This window comes from Homo sapiens, chromosome 7 (genome assembly GCF_000001405.40).
Source record: "Homo sapiens chromosome 7, GRCh38.p14 Primary Assembly".
NCBI lineage: Eukaryota > Metazoa > Chordata > Mammalia > Primates > Hominidae > Homo > Homo sapiens.
This window is the reverse complement of record NC_000007.14, coordinates 157,640,817-157,660,431: the sequence shown is the minus strand read 5'-3', so window position 1 is coordinate 157,660,431 and position 19,615 is coordinate 157,640,817. Positions and strand designations below refer to the sequence as shown.

The following is a 19,615-nucleotide window of genomic DNA, read 5'->3' as shown; positions in this document are numbered from 1 at the left end:
AAAACGGAAGTTTGTGGTGCAGCAGGGACCTCAGTCCTGTGGGGCCTCTTGGTGGCTTCACCCTCCATGGCACTCAGGAAATAACAGAGCTCAGACCTCACTGTAGCTCTCCCATGGGTGGCAAATCACAGGATGGGCATGGAACTAGCTTGATTTTTTATTTTTATGTGAGTAAATCTCCAGCGTTTCAAATCCTCTTCCCCAGAGGGTCACATTCTCGGACCCTCTGGGTTCCCTGAGCTGTAGCTGTTCTCATGCTTTGGTTGGACGTTATTTTTCTGGAGAAATTGTGTGAAGAGATAGAAGTTACTTCAGAAACATTTCTCAGTGTGCTTTTCCCCCACGTCAAGCAAAATTCATGTGCACAATTGAGAAATAAATGAGATGTATACTCAGGTTGGTTACTGGTATCATCTACCTTATTAAAATCATCCCTCATTGGGTGGATCACCTCAGGTCAGGAGTTCGAGACCAGCCTGGCCAATATGGTGAAACCCTGTCTCTACTAAAAATAGAAAAATTAGCCGGGCGTGGTGGCAGGCGCCTGTAATCCCAGCTAATCAGGGGAGTGAGGCAGGAGAATCGTTTGAACCCAGGAGGTGGAGGCTGCAGTGAGCCGAGATCGTGCCTCTCCACTCCAGCCTGGGAGACAGAGTGAGGCTCCATATCAAAAATAAAAATAAAAATAAAAAATAAAGAATTATCCTTTGTGGGGTTTTTTTTGTTTGTTTATTTTGCTTTGTTTTTGAGATTCTGAGAAAACGTGGGTGGATTTTTTTAAACACACTCACTATTTTAAAACTGTCTATAAACTAACAAGTACCTGAAGATGTATGGGAAAGAAGGAACTGGAACTCTCCCTTTTCTTAGAGACCCCTTACCCTCACCAGAGGCCCTTGGTAAAGTCCACCTTCCCCTGTGCGTCTCTGCCCGGTCCCCATAGTCATCCCCCCCGCCCCCCCCATCCCTGTGACCATCCTCCCACCCCTGTCCCTGCGGCTATCCACCTCCCGCCCAGTCCCCCCAGCCATCCCCCCCATCCCCGCGGCCGTCCCCCCCTTCCCCACAGTCGTCCCCCCCCATCCCCGCAGTCGTCCCCCCCCAGTCCCCGGGGTCATCCCCCCCCGTCCCCGCAGTCATCCTCCCAGTCCCCGCGGTCATCCTCCTTGTCCCCAGCTGCTCTCACAGGGGCTGCAGGCTCCTGGAGAGTGGGGGCCGCAGGGCCCCTTCCCACAGCACCTGTATCTCGCTATGAGTCCGAAGCAGAGAGCCCGGGAGCATGAATTGCTCATCCCAGAGAGCCAGGTGGAGGGAAATGTTTTCTAGATGGTGTGGTGCCGGTGGGCTTGGCAGACATCTTTAAAGCCAAGGAAGCCGGCAGCCCGGGGTGAAGGGAGAATGGACACAAGGAAGCCGGCACCCCGGGGTGAAGGGAGAAGGGACACATGGAGTGTTTCCTGAGCTTTGGCGATTGCCTTGGGGAGTGCAAGGCCTTTGACGCACACGGCTGTGGGGAGCGAGTGGGTGGCTTGGCCTCCCCCGGACACCACCAAAATGAAACCAAGGCAGCAGCAGCCCACGAGGTTCCCCGGAGCCTTTCTTTTTCTCACGAATGCATTTTCACCTCTTCTGTTGAGCTCCAGTTCTCTTATAAACTTTTTCTGGGTATCATTTCACTTTGCAGACTCAGGGTACAGGTATATTTTCATCAGGCAATAGGACGGGCTATCCTAACACAGTGGTTAGAACACTTTCAAAACGAGATTGTTGGTCAGACGTCAGGGGGGCACCCAGGCTGCACCCTGAAGGTGAGCGGCAGCAGCGGGGTCCCGGCGTGTTCTGAGCACCTGAGGCTGCGTGGCCGTGTCCTGCCTGCAGGCGGGTCCCATACGGCCGGGCAGGTGCTCGGGATGCCCACCGCGTGTGTGGTTGAGCTTTGCCTGGGGAAGGAGGGTCGAAGACCCTGCAGTGATCCCTCAGAAGCTGTCTTGGGGTGTAATGTTGAGAGTTTCCTTTAAATACGGGAACTTCTGCTTTGGTGTCTACTCAGCAGCACAGGCCTTTCTCCCTCCCCTGTGCCTTCTGTCTCCCGCACGGCTCCATTTGCCTTCTCTTGCATGGGCTCTTGGACATTGCTTTGGAAAGAGAAAGAAACGTCAGAATGAGGTTCTTCTTTTTTCTGCAGACTCTTTGATTGTGGTACCAGTTTCTGTATCTCAGTCCACAGTGCAAACCGCCCCCGGCCTCCCCTGTGGCTTATATTCTGATAGAATGAGAAGCCACCCAACGAAGGCTACTGTGGCGTTATCCCAGAATATTCCACGTTGATGACAGAGGAGGATCCAGTGGATGCTTTCTTGAATCTATAGGAGTGAGTGTTTGTGGCGTGTGCAGTGTGTGTGTGTCTGTGATGTGTGTATGTGTGTGTGGTGTGTGTGTCTGTGACGTGTGTGTGGTGTGTGTGTGTCTGTTACATATGTGTGTGGTGTGTGTGTGTGGTGTGTCTGCGATGTGTGTGGTGTGTGTGTGTCTGTGATGTGTGTGGTGTGTGTGTGTGGTGTGTGTGTATATGTGTGATGTGTGTGGTGTGTGTGGTGTATGTGTGTGTATATGTGTGATGTGTGTGGTGTGTGTGGCGTTTGTGTGTGTATATGTGTGATGTGTGTGGTGTGTGTGGTGTATGTGTGTGTATATGTGTGATGTGTGTGGTGTGTGTGTGGGGTGTATGTGTGTGTATATGTGTGATGTGTGTGGTGTGTGTGTGGGGTGTATGTGTGTGTATATGTGTGATGTGTGTGGTGTGTGTGTGTATATGTGTGATGTGTGTGGTGTGTGTGTGGTGTATGTGTGTGTATATGTGTGATGTGTGTGGTGTGTGTGTGGTGTGTGTGTATATGTGTGATGTGTGTGGTTTGTGTGGTGTATGTGTGTGTATATGTGATGTGTGTGGTGTGTGTGGTGTATGTGTGTGTATATGTGTGATGTGTGTGGTGTGTGTGTGTGGCGTATGTGTGTGTATATGTGTGATGTGTGTGGTGTGTGTGTGGCGTTTGTGTGTGTATATGTGTGATGTGTGTGGTGTGTGTGGTGTATGTGTGTGTATATGTGTGATGTGTGTGGTGTGTGTGTGTATATGTGTGATGTGTGTGGTGTGTGTGTGGTGTATGTGTGTGTATATGTGTGATGTGTGTGGTGTGTGTGTGTGGCGTATGTGTGTGTATATGTGTGATGTGTGTGGTGTGTGTGTGGCATATGTGTGTGTATATGTGATGTGTGTGGTGTGTGTGTGTGGCGTATGTGTGTGTATATGTGTGATGTGTGTGGTGTGTGTGTGTGGCGTATGTGTGTGTATATGTGTGACGTGTGTGGTGTGTGTGGTGTATGTGTGTGTATATGTGTGATGTGTGTGGTGTGTGTGTGGCGTATGTGTGTGTATATGTGTGATGTGTGTGGTGTGTGTGGTGTATGTGTGTGTATATGTGTGATGTGTGTGGTGTGTGTGTGTGGCGTGTGTGTGTGTATATGTGTGATGTGTGTGGTGTGTGTGGTGTATGTGTGTATATATGTGTGATGTGTGTGTGTGTGTGGTGTGTGTGTGTATATGTGTGTGTGTATGTGTGTTTGTATTCTCAGATTCTGAGAGCAAGGCCTCTCTTTTCCTGCACAAGCCTGAAGTCTTCTCGGGTCACCGTGCTGGGCGCGTGCTTTGGGGTGCGTTGACCGTCATGTTGCGCTGGCCTGCCCTGGGGTAAACTCTCGCCTGCCTGAACCTTGGATCTTAGCAGGAGAAGGGGTTGTGCCACGTGGGTGCCGTGGCCCTCGTCCTGCTGGGTGTCCCCAATGCCACTAACCCCCTGCTCTTCCTCCCCCTGTCCTGCAGGAGCTGTGCCGCCAGCGTATGGCCACGCGGCCACCAGACCGACCTGAGGGCCCGCACACGTCACGCATCAGCAGCGTCTCATCCCAGTTCAGCGACGGGCCGATCCCCAGCCCCTCCGCACGCAGCAGCGCCTCATCCTGGTCCGAGGAGCCTGTGCAGTCCAACATGGACATCTCCACCGGCCACATGATCCTGGTAAGCCCAGTCTTTGCACTCCCTGCCACACAAACACCAGGGCCCTCCTTCCTCGGCCCCTGCAACACCCAGCATCTGCGCCCGCTGACCCTCGGGGACTGGGCGATGATGGCTGCACCCTGCCCGCTGCAGAGGCTGACAGGCAGGGCTCTTTCTGCAGGGAGTCTTCTTAATTTAGATAAACAAGAATATTTACTTCCTGAGATCTTTGCCGTGCTTCTGCCTGGAACGTGCAGCCCCCACACACAGTCCCTGGTGTGTAAGAGTGAGCACCCGCTATTTAGTTTTCAGTGGAATACACGTCTGTTAGTGCCTACCATGTGCGCTGCCGTTTTGGGCCTCTGACTCGGAAGCAGCTGCTGTCTCCTTGGCACTCAAGGCCAGCAAGCGTCATTTGGGTAAATAAATGTCACTGCTGTGACAGCAAGGCAGGAGGAGGTGTGGGCTGGGTGCTCGGCTCTTCACAGGAGCCTTCCTGGTGGCGCCGGCCAGAGGCTCACGGCGACGCGGCTTCAGCGGCCTTTTCCAGGGTCCTCGCTGGAGTGATCACGCGTGTGTGGCCGTGCATTGCCACTCCATACATAATGAATGTCCGGGTGTTATTAGGACAGCTGTCAATAGCGCAGCACGTCCTGCTGGCTGCCTCCTGGATCTCCAGGCCGTAGGCGTCGTCCTGGTGGGTGACCGTGCCTGGCTGTGCTGTTTCCCGCACTGGAGACGGAGCCTCTGGGGTGAAAGGGCAGAGCCTGTTACGCTGCTTGGCCGAAGCAGCGGCTGCACTTACGGGTCAGGGAAACATTCTTCGCCGTACCATTAAGTTCCCAGGTTGCAGGATGGACCCTGTAAGTTGCTGTTAAATGCTTACATTTTTTAAAAATTATTTTTGCCTAATGAGTTAATAATAGTATAGACTGGTGGATCTGGACCACAAAAAGCCAGAAAACCATGTTTTCACTAAAAAGCCTCATTGCAGAGCTTGGAGATCAAGGCTGGAGGCCTCCCGGCCCAGCTGACGCTCCAGGGACAAACAGCTGACGTCTGGTGGGAAACACGCAGTTCTAGACCCGCTTGGACCAGACGTTTGGGGAAACTGAGGAACTCAGCAGCCTTCTCCCTGGATAACTTAAAATGAGGAGAAGCAACAGTCAAGAAGCCTGGCTTTCCCGATCCCTGAGCTGAGGAGGGCACATTTTTTCCCATCACTCCCTGGGGCGAGCCCACGAAGCCGGACCACCCGCCAGAAATCAAACCCGAGGTGTTCACACCCGGGAGCAGACAGCTCGTGGAGTTCACTCGGCAGACCTGTCATCGACTTTGGCAGAACCTCCTCCCTTGATGGACTGTGGTTTTGTTACTTTAGATCTGACTTTTCTGAGGCTGTTTTGACATTTGTCCCTTTTAGAAAAGGAGCAGAGACCAGGAGTTCATATTTGTGATGAGATTTGGTATTAGGGCCAAACCCATCAGCCAAAGACATTCATCTGACAGGTCAGCCAAGAGGAGAGCCGCTTAGCGAGCTCTCATTGTGTTCTGATATTTCCACATTTCAAGGTGCTTGAGTAACAATTTGATGATATCTCAAGCTCTATTGGTACCTGGAAATACTGTATTTCTCAGAGAATTGTGTTTGGCATTCACATATGTAATGGCAGCTCTGACAGCAAGCACCACTTCTGCTGGAATGCCTAAACCGCAAGGACAGACTCAGCCTCCACCTGGCGGAAACCCTGCAAAGCCTGACTCCAGACACCCTGTTGGGGGGTCATCGAGGGCCACACACCGTGACGGGGTCCTGTTTCGGAACGCGTCTCACCACCGCCCACAACTGCAGGGCCGAAACGAGAAACACACTCAGGCCAAGTATGAGTCCGGCTGACTTAGACTCTGTGCGTACAGATTGTAAACTCAGGGAAACTGGATCTTCCTCATCAACCAATGCTGTTTTGAAAATGAATGTTACTGAGATATTTCCCTGACTCCACGATGCCAGCAGGTGCTGGTGGGAGTCAGGGTGGGTGTGGGGAGCGGCGGGCACAGTGTGGAGTTGGGGAGGGTGTGGGGAGCGGCGGGCATGGTGTGGAATTGGGGTGGGTGTGGGGAGTGGTGGGCATCGTGCGGAGTCGGGGTGGGAGTGGGAAGCGGCAGGCGTCGTGTGGAGTTGGGGTGGGTGTGGGGAGAGGTGGGCATCGTGCGGAGTCGGGGTGGGTGTGGGGAGTGGCGGGCAGTGTGGAGTTGGGGTGGGTGTGGGGAGCGGCGGGCATGGTGTGGAGTCGGGGTGGGTGTGGGGAGCGGCGGGCATCGTGTGGAGTTGGGGTGGGTGTGGGGAGAGGCGGGCGTCGTGTGGAGTCGGGGTGGGTGTGGGGAGCGGCGGGCATGGTGTGGAGTCGGGGTGGGTGTGGGGAGCAGCGGGCATCGTGTGCAGTTGGGGTGGGTGTGGGGAGAGACGGGCGTCATGTGGAGTTGGGGTGGGTGTGGGGATCAGCGGGCATCGTGTGGAGTCGGGGTGGGTGTGGGGAGTGGCGGGCGTCGTGTGCAGTTGGGGTGGGTGTGGGGAGCAGCGGGCATCGTGTGGAGTCCAGCAACCAAGTGGGCCAGACGTGGGCCTTGGACCCTGGCGTCTCCTCTCACTCAGCAGTTCTGATTTTCCTTCCTCTGAGCTCACTTTACAAGTGCATTCCCGTGCCCTCTCAGCCATGCGGGGTCTCCTGGTGGGCATGTCCCTGGTACAGGAGCAGAGAGGCACAGACTCACGCCACAGGTGAGCTCCAGGTAGACCTCTTCCCAGGACTCACACAGGTAGCCTTTTAGGCTCGGAAGCTACAGCCAATCTCGGGGCACTGACCGCCACCCTCCCTGGCACACACAGGCTGTAGAAAGCACATGCAGGTTGGTGCCGCAGGAACGCATCAGAGTCGCCGACCTTCCGACTCATCACAGCTACAAGGCAGCCAATTCCGTGGTGATCCAGCAGCCCAGCCCTCTGTGCGCAAAGCCTCGTTTCCGCCAGACACCCAACCGGCCACCTCAGTGCCCCTCACCTGAGGATGGCAGGATGGTCAGATAAGCCACAGAGATTCCCAGCGACATGTTCCTGACATGCAGCCACTCCTGGGGCACGTTGGACAAAACGTGGCATCTGAACCCCACGATCCGATGAAATAAACAGCAGAGGTTGGTGATGTCTGGAGGCCAAGCTAGATGTGAGGAGCCCCAGCAGGTGGGAGAGGCCGGCTGCACCGTCTGGGGGGCAGGCTCAGCACCAAGAGCGGAGACTTTCTGTGACAAAGGACACATGTGGCAGGGTGGAGGCTGCACACTGCCCCGGAGCCCAGACCTTCAGGCGGGGCTGGCCTGGCTGTGGCCCCACAGGAAGGGCCTCCTGGCCCCGAGAGCCCCCTCCCGCCCTGGGGCACTCTACCCACTGGAGCTCACGCTGCTGCTTTCTGCACAGAGGCTGGGATTCCGTGCTGGAGACCCGGAGTAACAGAACTCTAGAAATGAGCACTCCATCTAGAGAGGGGAGCATACAACACTCTTATAAAGGAGACAGGCCAGGGTGTGAGAGAAGGAGGCTTCCCTGGGAGACAGGAGGCGGCAGGTGCCTGCCCCGATGGGGGGATCCATGGGGCTGTGCAGCCACTGGGTGTCACCAGGAAGAGGCTGGTGTCTCAGGACTGCAGGGAGGGACTTAGTTACCTGGTCAAGGTGTCCCAGCAGGTGGAACAAGAGGGAGAGCACACGTCTCAGGGACCCCCGGGGAAGGGGCCACATGAAAGCCTGATGGGAAGGGGCAGGGGTGGGCAGGTCATTGGGGCAGCCGCTGGGTCCCCCGCTCTGCCATGACAGCAGGTGGTCAGGTCTAGATGTGGAGCACAGATTCTGGGCTCCATCAGCAAGGTGTCAGAGCTGAGACGCTTTGCTGTTGCAGGTGCTGTGTCCCAGGACAGACCTCCAACCTTCTTCTCCCCTGTGAGACGGGCTTGATGGCAGTGCCTTTCCCCTGGGGTTCCTGTGAGGGTAAAACCGGGTGAGCATCTGAGATGCCGCCCATCCTGAGACCTCACCTGTGCCGAAGGTGCGTCGGGCTGGAGAGGAAGGGGTTGTGCTGAAGGAACAGAGCCCGGCGGGGCCTTTGCTTGGTAGGGTTTGGGCCTCTGGGCCTGCATTCTCTACACTCTGCCTGATCCCTGTCTCTGGGCTTTGATTCTGGTTTTTGTGTTGCTTTGCCTTCATTTTCTTAGAAAGGTCCTTTAAAAATTCCAGTTTTCTTCTGGGATGAACTAAGGAGAAAGGGCTTTATTTGCAGGGAAAACCCAGCCCAGAATGTCACTTGTTCCTGGAAAATGGGCCTCCCAGGCGCAGGGAAGGTGCAGTCCGTGCCCCTGCCTTGGACTGTCTGGAAGAAGCTGAGTCGAGGCTCACCTGCGGGTGAATGGAGCACTCAGAGGAGGGAGAGGCAGGAAGGAAACACTTCCATCAAGAAACCGGTACATTTCTCTGGAAACGGCCGAAAGGCAACACGGAGATGCTCACTCAGAGCAAGGCTCGGGACTCTGAAAAGCAAGGACGTGATGAAGGCGACTTCGCAGGACGGTTATCAAAGCGGCTGCGTGTTAATCATCTGCGGGGACGTGGCTTCTCAAGAAATCCTGTCACATCCTTTTGTAAGATAAAGAATCATCGAGTTTTTTCAAGATCTGTTTCCCTATCACTTTGCTTTCAGAAGGGTGACATTTCTGCCTGGCTGGCTCTGAGTGAGGAGGTGGAGAAGAGTGTCACCGTCCCGATGTGACTAATTACGCCTGAGTCGGCCGGGAGCCACCGCGTCCACCTTTAAAGGCTAGAGAACGTTTTTTGGAGAGTGGGGATGTTAAGAAAAAAGTTGGCTTCATACTTCTCCATTCGACTTAAATAATATAGAACTTAACTTGGGAAAGCCGTGCTGAGTAAGTGCTTTTCAGAATCCATCCTCTTGAGTGTTGAAGATGAGGATATGGACAGTGATCTTTGAGTTCGCTCATCCTTGGAGAGTCCTGAGGCACTGAGGGCACAGGAGCTGTGAGTAGGCCCATTTCACAGATGACGACATTAAAACCAAGCGCAGTGACAGAGACGTGAAAAACGAAAAGTTAGGCATTGCAGGAAGTGACCAAAGATTTCCCATGATCACAGAAAACAGGAAAGTTCATGAATTTTGCTGAGGAGGGAGGGGGTGCTGCCAGCCTGTGGAGTCGCGCCGCACCTTCCGCAGATTTGCCTGTGGGGTTTCTGAACTCCCAGCGTGAGACGCGTGATGCGTGTCTGTGCTGGCGACCAACAGATGCCGGCACAAGCTGTGACCTCCTCAGACCCACACGGCTCACGGCCTCTGAACTTCGGCCCTCCTGCCTGCCTGGAGTCTTCCCTGGGCCCGTCGTGTCTCTGCCTGTGCACCTTGAGAGATCTCTGTCTCTCATTGTTTGATCTTGTCAGGCTCCAGGCTTCTTAGTTCTTAGCGATAAGTCACCGAACCAGGAGGGCCTCGCGAAACCATGCCAGATGTCCCTGCCCAAGGCTGCAAGTCACCAGCTGCAGCAGAAAGGGGCTGGGGTCCCCTGCACCCCACGCCACCAGTGCCGGGGCCTTGGCAGGCGCTCCCCTGGCCCCAGTCCCTCCACCTTCAGACCCAGTGCCCTGTATTTCTGGAAGATTCCATTCCATCGTTCCCACGTGGTTGACGGGCACAGATGGCTGCTCTCCCAGGATGAGGGGCACTGGGCCACCGAGAATTTCACTCTGGGGCCACGCGGCTGGGCTGGCCGTTCTCGCTCTGGCTCGGGTGCTGGCGCGGAGGCCTGATGAGTAAACCAGGCCGCAGGGCGAACTCTCCAGCTTTGTGGGGCCTGCGTTCACAGACACGGCAGGCCGTTGCTGCTGTCTGGACGATGCCGGCTTTGTGGCGCACATTTGGAGGAGCCTATTTTTGCAGGAAAGCTGTTTCTCACCATTGAGGACTGCGTGGCATAGGCAAGGCCTGCACATGGAGGGGTACATAGTCCCCCCTTCCCAGCACGGCGGGTGGGGGTGTGCCCTGCCCTGATGGGGAGCCCCTGCGGGGGATGTCTCTCTCCGGCGGGCAGGTTTGGGAAGCCTTCACGCCACACAGGACCAGGCACGGAGCCCCATGACCAGAGACGGCATTAAACCAGCAGGGAAGGGGAAAGCTGGGGCAAGAGGCAGAGCCAGGAGAGGAGGAGCGTCCAGGTGCCATAGTAGCCGGCTCTGGAGACCCCGAGACTTCCCAGCCTCACTCCTGCGGGCCTGGGGAGCTCCTTTGAGAGCCATTTACGCGTCCACCGAGTTCAGTGCACAGTGAATGGGTCCGACCCACCGAGTTCAGTGCACGCTGGATGGGTCCAACCCACCGAGTTCAGTGCACACTGGATGGGTCCGACCCACCGAGTTCAGTGCACGCTGGATGGGTCCGACCCACCGAGTTCAGTGCACCCTGGGTGGGTCCAACCCACCGAGTTCAGTGCACAGTGAATGGGTCCGACCCACCGAGTTCAGTGCACGCTGGATGGGTCCGACCCACCAAGTTCAGTGCACACTGGATGGGTCTGACCCACCGAGTTCAGTGCACAGTGAATGGGTCCGACCCACCGAGTTCAGTGCACAGTGAATGGGTCCGACCCACCGAGTTCAGTGCACGCTGGATGGGTCCGACCCACCGAGTTCAGTGCACAGTGAATGGATCGGACCCACCGAGTTCAGTGCACAGTGAATGGGTCCGACCCACCGAGTTCAGTGCACGCTGGATGGGTCCGACCCACCGAGTTCAGTGCACAGTGAATGGGTCCGACCCACCGAGTTCAGTGCACAGTGGATGGGTCCGACCCACCGAGTTCAGTGCACGCTAGATGGGTCTGACCCACCGAGTTCAGTGCACAGTGAAAGGGTCTGACCCACCGAGTTCAGTGCACGCTGGATGGGTCCGACCCACCGAGTTCAGTGCACGCTGGATGGGTCTGACCCACTGAGTTCAGTGCACAGTGAATGGGTCCGACCCACCAAGTTCAGTGCACGCTGGATGGGTCCGACCCACCGAGTTCAGTGCACAGTGAATGGGTCCAACCCACCGAGTTCAGTGCACGCTGGATGGGTCTGACCCACCGAGTTCAGTGCACAGCGAATGGGTCCGACCCACCGAGTTCAGTGCACGCTGGATGGGTCCGACCCACCGAGTTCAGTGCACAGTGAATGGGTCCGACCCACCGAGTTCAGTGCACAGTGAATGGGTCTGACCCACCGAGTTCAGTGCACGCTGGATGGGTCCAACCCACCGAGTTCAGTGCACAGTGAATGGATCCGACCCACCGAGTTCAGTGCACAGTGGATGGGTCCGACCCACCGAGTTCAGTGCACACTGGATGGGTCTGACCCACCAAGTTCAGTGCACAGTGAAAGGGTCCAACCCACCGAGTTCAGTGCACGCTGGATGGGTCCGACCCACCGAGTTCAGTGCACGCTGGATGGGTCCGACCCACCGAGTTCAGTGCACGCTGGATGGGTCTGACCCACCGAGTTCAGTGCACAGTGAATGGGTCCGACCCACCGAGTTCAGTGCACACTGGATGGGTCCGACCCACCGAGTTCAGTGCACAGTGAATGGGTCTGACCCACCGAGTTCAGTGCACAGTGAAAGGGTCTGACCCACCGAGTTCAGTGCATGCTGGATGGGTCCAACCCACCGAGTTCAGTGCACGCTGGATGGGTCCGACCCACCGAGTTCAGTGCATGCTGGATGGGTCTGACCCACCGAGTTCAGTGCACAGTGAAAGGGTCTGACCCACCGAGTTCAGTGCACGCTGGATGGGTCCGACCCACCGAGTTCAGTGCACGCTGGATGGGTCCGACCCACCGAGTTCAGTGCACAGTGAATGGGTCCGACCCACCGAGTTCAGTGCACAGTGAATGGGTCCGACCCACCGAGTTCAGTGCACACTGGATGGGTCTGACCCACCGAGTTCAGTGCACAGTGAATGGGTCCGACCCACCGAGTTCAGTGCACGCTGGATGGGTCCAACCCACCGAGTTCAGTGCATGCTGGATGGGTCCGACCCACCGAGTTCAGTGCACGCTGGATGGGTCCGACCCACCGAGTTCAGTGCACAGTGAATGGGTCCAACCCACCGAGTTCAGTGCACGCTGGATGGGTCCGACCCACCGAGTTCAGTGCACAGCGAATGGGTCCGACCCACCGAGTTCAGTGCACGCTGGATGGGTCTGACCCACCGAGTTCAGTGCACAGCGAATGGGTCCGACCCACCGAGTTCAGTGCACACTGGATGGGTCTGACCCACCGAGTTCAGTGCACGCTGCATGGGTCTGACCCACCGAGTTCAGTGCACGCTGGATGGGTCTGACCCACCGAGTTCAGTGCACAGTGAATGGGTCCGACCCACCAAGTTCAGTGCATGCTGGATGGGTCTGACCCACCGAGTTCAGTGCACAGTGAATGGGTCCGACCCACCAAGTTCAGTGCATGCTGGATGGGTCTGACCCACCGAGTTCAGTGCACAGTGAATGGGTCCGACCCACCGAGTTCAGTGCACGCTGGATGGGTCCGACCCACTGAGTTCAGTGCACAGTGAATGGGTCCGACCCACCGAGTTCAGTGCACAGTGAATGGGTCCGACCCACCGAGTTCAGTGCACACTGGATGGGTCTGACCCACCGAGTTCAGTGCACAGTGAATGGGTCCGACCCACCGAGTTCAGTGCACGCTGGATGGGTCCAACCCACCGAGTTCAGTGCATGCTGGATGGGTCCGACCCACCGAGTTCAGTGCACGCTGGATGGGTCCGACCCACCGAGTTCAGTGCACAGTGAATGGGTCCAACCCACCGAGTTCAGTGCACGCTGGATGGGTCCGACCCACCGAGTTCAGTGCACAGCGAATGGGTCCGACCCACCGAGTTCAGTGCACGCTGGATGGGTCCGACCCACCGAGTTCAGTGCACAGCGAATGGGTCCGACCCACCGAGTTCAGTGCACACTGGATGGGTCTGACCCACCGAGTTCAGTGCACGCTGCATGGGTCTGACCCACCGAGTTCAGTGCACGCTGGATGGGTCTGACCCACCGAGTTCAGTGCACAGTGAATGGGTCCGACCCACCAAGTTCAGTGCATGCTGGATGGGTCTGACCCACCGAGTTCAGTGCACAGTGAATGGGTCCGACCCACCAAGTTCAGTGCATGCTGGATGGGTCTGACCCACCGAGTTCAGTGCACAGTGAATGGGTCCGACCCACCGAGTTCAGTGCACGCTGGATGGGTCCGACCCACCGAGTTCAGTGCACAGTGAATGGGTCCGACCCACCGAGTTCAGTGCACAGTGAATGGGTCCAACCCACCGAGTTCAGTGCACCCTGGATGGGTCTGACCCACCGAGTTCAGTGCACACTGGATGGGTCTGACCCACCGAGTTCGGTGCACAGTGAATGGGTCCGACCCACTGAGTTCGGTGCACGCTGGATGGGTCTGACCTCCCAGTGGCTGCCATGGCCTTTGGGCCCGGTGCAGACCCAAGTATCCGTCCTCACACCCTAACTTGCTTGAGGGGACGTTCTAGAGCCTCCCGTGTCCATGCAGCCACCCAAGCCACAGCTCCTGCTTGACGCTCCTGGGACTCTGTTCTGTACCTGAGACTCTCACAGGGCCCGGTACCAGTGGGACCCAGCCTCCCCTGTGCAAGGGCCTCCCCTGGGTGGGAGGACATGGGCTGTTAATTAGACCCGGGTTCATTAGACAGGTGTGTTAGGCTGTTGTCACACTGCTATACAGAAATACCTGAGGCTGGGTAATTCATAAAGAAAAGAGGTTGAATTGGCTCAGGGTTCTGTAGGCTGTACAGGAAGCATGGTGGCCTCTGCTCCTGGGGAGGCCTCAGGAAGTATCCAGTCATGGCGGAAGGCAAAGGGGAGCCAAGACGTCACATGGCAGGTGCAGGAGGGAGAGAACAGATGGGGAGTGCCGCACACTTTTAACAACACCATCTCAGGAAAGCCTGCTCACTATCCTGAGGACAGCGCCAAGGGGATGGTCTAAACCACCCATGAGAAACCACCCTGTGACCCAGCCACTTCCCACCAGGCCCCACCTCCAGCCCTGGGGCTACATTTCAACATGAGACTGGCCAGGACACAGATCCAAACCACATCACAAGGCCATGCGGAGGCAGCGCCTACTGTGTGCCTGGCAAACAGTTGGCATTCAGTCAGTGATCAGCAGGATCCCTGGTTCTGCTACTTTGGGGTTTTGGGGTACAGGCTCCACTCTCTTCCCTGAAAGGAGGCCCTTCATCTGCTAATCTCTAAACTGAAAGATTTTAGCCCTTACGTCTTGCACCTTTTTCAAAAGCAGCTTTACAGTGACCTAAGCTCTAAACTCGTGGTTTTCTTTGTCATATTGTACCAAGGGGTGGGACTGTGTCCCAGCAAGCAAGTCCCGGGCTGGTTTGGTCTGGGACGTGCTTCATGAAGACATTACAGCCACTCGGCATCATTGTGGGGAAGGTAACCACGGCAGGGGTGCCCACCCACACCGGGACTCTGGGGCCCAGCCCCCTCCCCAGGGCCAGCCGGTGCTGCTGTGGTCATGTGGTGCGTAAACAGCAGCTCCTCACATGACGCCGCTCTCAGGAGAGGGCCCTGCATGAGTGTGTACAGCCCGGCCCCACCCTCCTAACAGCCATATGTTCTCCTGTTATTGGACGCACAGAAATTTACTGTCTCCTAGTAAGGGCAATGTAGGCAATTTCAAACTTTTGCCACTCCAGACTACACGGACCATGTGAAATGTGAGTTTTTAGAAGCCAGATCCTGAGTCATCGCGGATGCTTATTGTTTATTTTGATAGATACTGCCACATTCCCTGCAATAATCTTTGCCAAGATGGCGTCCCCCTAGTGCCATAGACATGGTACCTCTGTCCCAGGTCTCCCAGCCTCAGGTATCAGCGAACCTTTGAACTTTGCCGCTGGTAGGTGGGAAGGGCTGCATCCAAGTGGTTTTCACTTCTGTTTCTCTGGCTTGCGTGAGACTGAGCATACTTTCTCATGTTTGGGAGCCGTTTATGGTTCCTTCCAAGAGTGGTTTTGGACACAGTCCTCATGGCAGCAAGGCCAGCAGCCTCGAAAGCCTGCCAAGTGCAAGTGTGGCACGTCCACGCAACATCAATCACAGGTGCTGTCACGGAAATGGACGTGGCAGTGAAACTGTTCTGCTCCTGTTCGTCTCCTCCGTGTCCGTCATCACAGCCACAGTCACCTCTGAGAGAGGCAGTGATATCGATTAATTAGGGCAAAGTTTAGGAAGACCAAGGAGAAAGAGAAAGCCCTCTGAGAGTTCTTGTCCTGTCCAGATGTATGTGACCAGGTGAGAAAGGAGCCGGCTGGGTAGCTCGGGCCCGTGTGGTTCCCACGGGTGGAAATCGTGCATAGGATTGTAGCTCAGAGCAGACAGTGCTGCTGCTTTTGTTTTGTTTTCTTTTGTTTTTTGTTTTTTTTTTTTTGTTTTTTGAGATGGAGTTTCACTCTTGTTGCCCAGGCTGGAGTGCAATGGTGTGATCTCGGCTCACTGCAACCTCTGCCTCTCGGGTTCAAGTGATTCTCCTGCCTCAGCCTTCCGAGTAACTGGAATTATAGGCGTTAGCCACCACGCCTGGCTAATTTTGTATTTTTAGTAGAGTCGGGGTTTCTCCATGTTGGTCAGGCTGATCTCAAACTCCTGACCTCGTGATCCGCCTGCCTCAGCCTCCCAAAGTGCTGGGATTACAGGCATGAGCCACCGCGCCCAGCCAGAGTGCTGCTTTAATTGATGAAGCAAGAATGGGGCTCCTGGGAGAGGCGTATGCTGGCTATGTGAGGTCTGTGGACCTCCAGGGGCCTGCCCTGGCCTGCTGGGGCTGCCGTGACGACATCCCTCAGGCTGGGCAGCTGAAACCACAGCAGTGTCTTCCTCACAGTTTCGGAGGCCAGAAGTCTACAATGCAGGCAGGGCTTGTTCCTCCTGAGGTCTCTCTCCGTGGCTGGCAGATGACATCTTTTTCCTGTGTCCTCCCAGAACCTTTCGTCTGTGGGAGCACATCCTGCTCTGTCTTCTCAGGACCTCACTCAGATTGGTCTGGGGCCAACCCCAGTGGCCTCATTTTAACTCCATCATCTCTGTAAAGGCCCCACCTGCAAATGAGGTTATGTTGCGGGGTAACCTGGAGGGGATTAGGGAGGCAGCACATGGATTCTAGGGAATGGTTCAGCCCGTAACAGGGACCGACGCCTGATGCACACCAGTGTTTTCTGGTAGCTTGTAGCGCATGAGAGGCCCCTGGTCTTCCAGCCACAGTCCCACGGGGGAAGCTCCAGTCTCCCCGCACTGGTGAGCTGAGCGTGCGGCGAGCACTATGAGGCTGGCCGGTGTCTGGGCCCTGGGCTGTCACCTGCCACAGCCCGGACTGCCGTCTATCTGCTGCACGAGTTGGTGACGAACCTTCGAGGCCTGACGGAGAGGCTGGTGAGCCACTTTAGACACCACCACTTTCTAGAGCTCAGCTCACACTTCCTGGCTGGAGCCTGGCCGCCTGCTCCCACCTCCTTTACTGTGGGTGCGGGTGTCTGCAGGGGGTCCTTGGGAAGGGCGCAGACAGAGGCTGGAGGCAGCAGCGGCTGTGCAAGGAACAGGGGCTCCGTCGGGGGAGCAGTCACAGCCACTGGTTCTGGATTTCCCTGGGATGCCCGGGCCGTGGGTGTGCCCGTCCTGCAGCAGCTGTGCCTTGGTCAGCGGCCATCACGGCCTTCCCCTGCAGCCCCCACACCTCCGCCACAGTGCCCCTTGCAGCGCTCTGTGGATAGTTGGGTTGTGACACAGGCAGAGAGTGTCCCTTCCATGATCCGCCTTTATTGAGGGTGTGGAACTCTATTTTTTTGTGGGAGGGGGAGTGATTTGACTTTTTATTTTTTAAAAATCTGATTTGCTGCTTAAAATGCTAGAGCCATGCTAGTGCTTTATTTTTCAGTCTCTCCAAGTTTTCAATATGTTGTCTTTTCTGCCTTGAGCACTTAATGTTTAAAGGAAAAATTCTCTGACCCCAATCTGACCAGTCCCTGCTGCCATGCTGGCCCCAGCGAGACAAGTGGCTGAGTCTATAGGAAGAGTTTGTACCATCTTTAGTATGACAGATGGTGGGTTATGTCCCAACAAACCCATCGTAAGTTGAAAGTGCATTTTTGACTTAATGATATTTTCAACTCCAAAGAGGTTTATCCTGCCATAGCCCCATCATAAGCGGGGACTACCTGTATATTTACGACCTGGTTTGATTGGATGTTTGGGCTCCAGAGAAGGTGGGTGATGGTCCAGAGAGTCTGCGGGAGAAAGAGGTAAGCTGCTGTGATGCAGCTTGGCCTTTGGCTGCCGGGGCGATTGGCTTAGGTAAATGGCACCCACTGTCCCGCAGCCCTGCGTTTTAGCTGCTTTTTTTTTTTTTTTTTTTTTTTTTTTTTTGCTGTTTCTTGACTTGGTAGACCCTTCTTATAGTGTGTGAATGGGGCATGATAGAAGAAGTGGAATCAAGCATCCAACTCATACTTGTTGAATTAAATTGGGTAACCAAACATTAAACTTGGTAAAAGTTAACAGGTCCACGAATTAACGGTTGTGGGAGGAAACACTTGAAGCTGGTGCATAAAGTCAGGTCTGGAAAGTGCTCATTCGTGCAGCGTTTTCTGAGCACCCAGTGACGGACGGAGACGTCCACAGGCTGCTCGGGAACTCATGGAAACTTCCTGGAGAAACCCGAGGCGAGGAGGCGAGACCAGAGGCCGCCTCCATCTGGTCTGTCCAGTGACTCCTGCATCTGCAGGTTTATAGACAGCATCAGAGGAATTGAATCACAGCAGTTCAGGGCCTGGATGGAGTTATCTGATTCTTTGTGTAAATGTGTAAACCTAACACGAGTTTAATAAAATGCAGCTTTTGAAATTCCACAAGCAGTTCAGAAATGAGCTGGCGTCAGGTGGGCTCTGCTTACCTTCATGTCCTCAGCACGGCTCCTGGGCAGAGGACCATGGGGATGCTGGGTGTGAAGGAGGCCAGCAGTCTGGCTCCTAAGAGGCTTACAGCCAATTTGGGGCAAAAGGGGGTGAAGGGCTGGAGAAACACTAGACATTGCCACACACCAAGCTGCATTCTTTTGCTAGAAGACGTCTCTGTCCTTGACGGGAGTGTCGGGCGTGGCAGGGGGGCTACAGAGGAGACTTGAGGTGGACATTTGAGACCAGGTTTTGGTCGGTGAAGACAGCTGTGTTGGGCAGGTGGCATGCAGAGGAGGGAACAGCACAGCTCCATCAGGAAGCAGAGGGCAGTTCACAGAATTGGAGTTCACGGTGGAAGGAGCAGAAGATGAGCTCAGCCTGGACTCGAGTGAACACCTTGAGCCAGACGTCAGGTAGCTTTGTGCGTCCACATGTGGAGTGGTGCTTGACTCCACATGTAATTGTTGTGACTTCTTGAACCCGAAAAGTCGACATTATTCACTTATTTGTGTACGTTTGCAGAAGGTGGGAGCACTTAGGATGCATGAGCCAGGGACTGAGTGGGTCCTGACTTGTCACTAGTGTTTTCTCTTCTGGAGCAAGAGGACAGTGATCTTGGAAAGACAGGAAGATTTGGTGCTGCAGTGAAAAGATGGTGCCACGTCCAGAGTCTGGCTTCCCAGTGTGACATCTGGGCCAGCATTACATCCTGTGAACTCTGGCTTCCCCTTCCACAAAATATGGCTGGTTACAAAACTCATGCAACCATACTGCCGTAAAGAAAAATAATGACGCCCACTGTGGGAAAATCTCCTAACATACTGCAGAGTATTGCAGTGACGTTTCTAAAATTATAGAAACCATGTTGCCAAGTAAGTTTTTCTTTAAAAAAGCTAATCTCTCACTCACTCAGTGTTTGGCCTGTGTACATCTCATTCTTTGCCTTACATATGCCCTGCATTTTCTGAGTTGTATTTTGTTGCAGCATCCTCTCCTGCCTTCTGTGGGAATGAATGGGTTTTCTTTATTCCCTCTCTCCCCCTTGGCTAGTTCAGCAGTTATACTTTAGTAATTATCCTGATACTTTTAATAACCATGCTTGGCTTAACAATATCTGGAGTTCACATTTCTGCCCTCCTCACAAATAAACCCAGGACCTGAGACACAGACCTCAGCTACCTCCCTCTGACACATACAGTATTGTTCAGTATTTCAGTTGTGCCTTGTCTTTGTATCCTGAAATCAACCGTTTGTTTTACTAGCTTTCATAGTCAGCATTTGTTCAGACCGACTCTCATTTTATGAGGTTCCCCTCTCCCCCCATCACCATTCCTTTTACTGCTCAATTCTTCATTTTGGGTAAAACTACCTTTTTTCTGAAAGATATCCTTCTTTCAGTCTTTTATTGGGAAAGTTTCCTTCTCTTTGTCTGAAAATGTCTTTGATCCTCACACTTGCATAACAGATT

General features: G+C 54.9%; 1 protein-coding gene across 10 annotated transcripts in view; it reads left to right on the top strand.

Moving 5' to 3' along the window:
• Positions 1-19,615, top strand: part of PTPRN2 (protein tyrosine phosphatase receptor type N2) — a 1,048,768-nt gene that overhangs the window by 927,392 nt on the left and 101,761 nt on the right. For all 10 annotated transcript variants that reach the window (XM_047420678.1, NM_130842.4, XM_047420679.1 and 7 more), the window contains one exon: positions 3,881-4,075. In XM_047420678.1, coding sequence (XP_047276634.1) covers positions 3,881-4,075 — 195 coding nt within the window. The remainder of the gene's footprint in view (positions 1-3,880; positions 4,076-19,615) is intronic.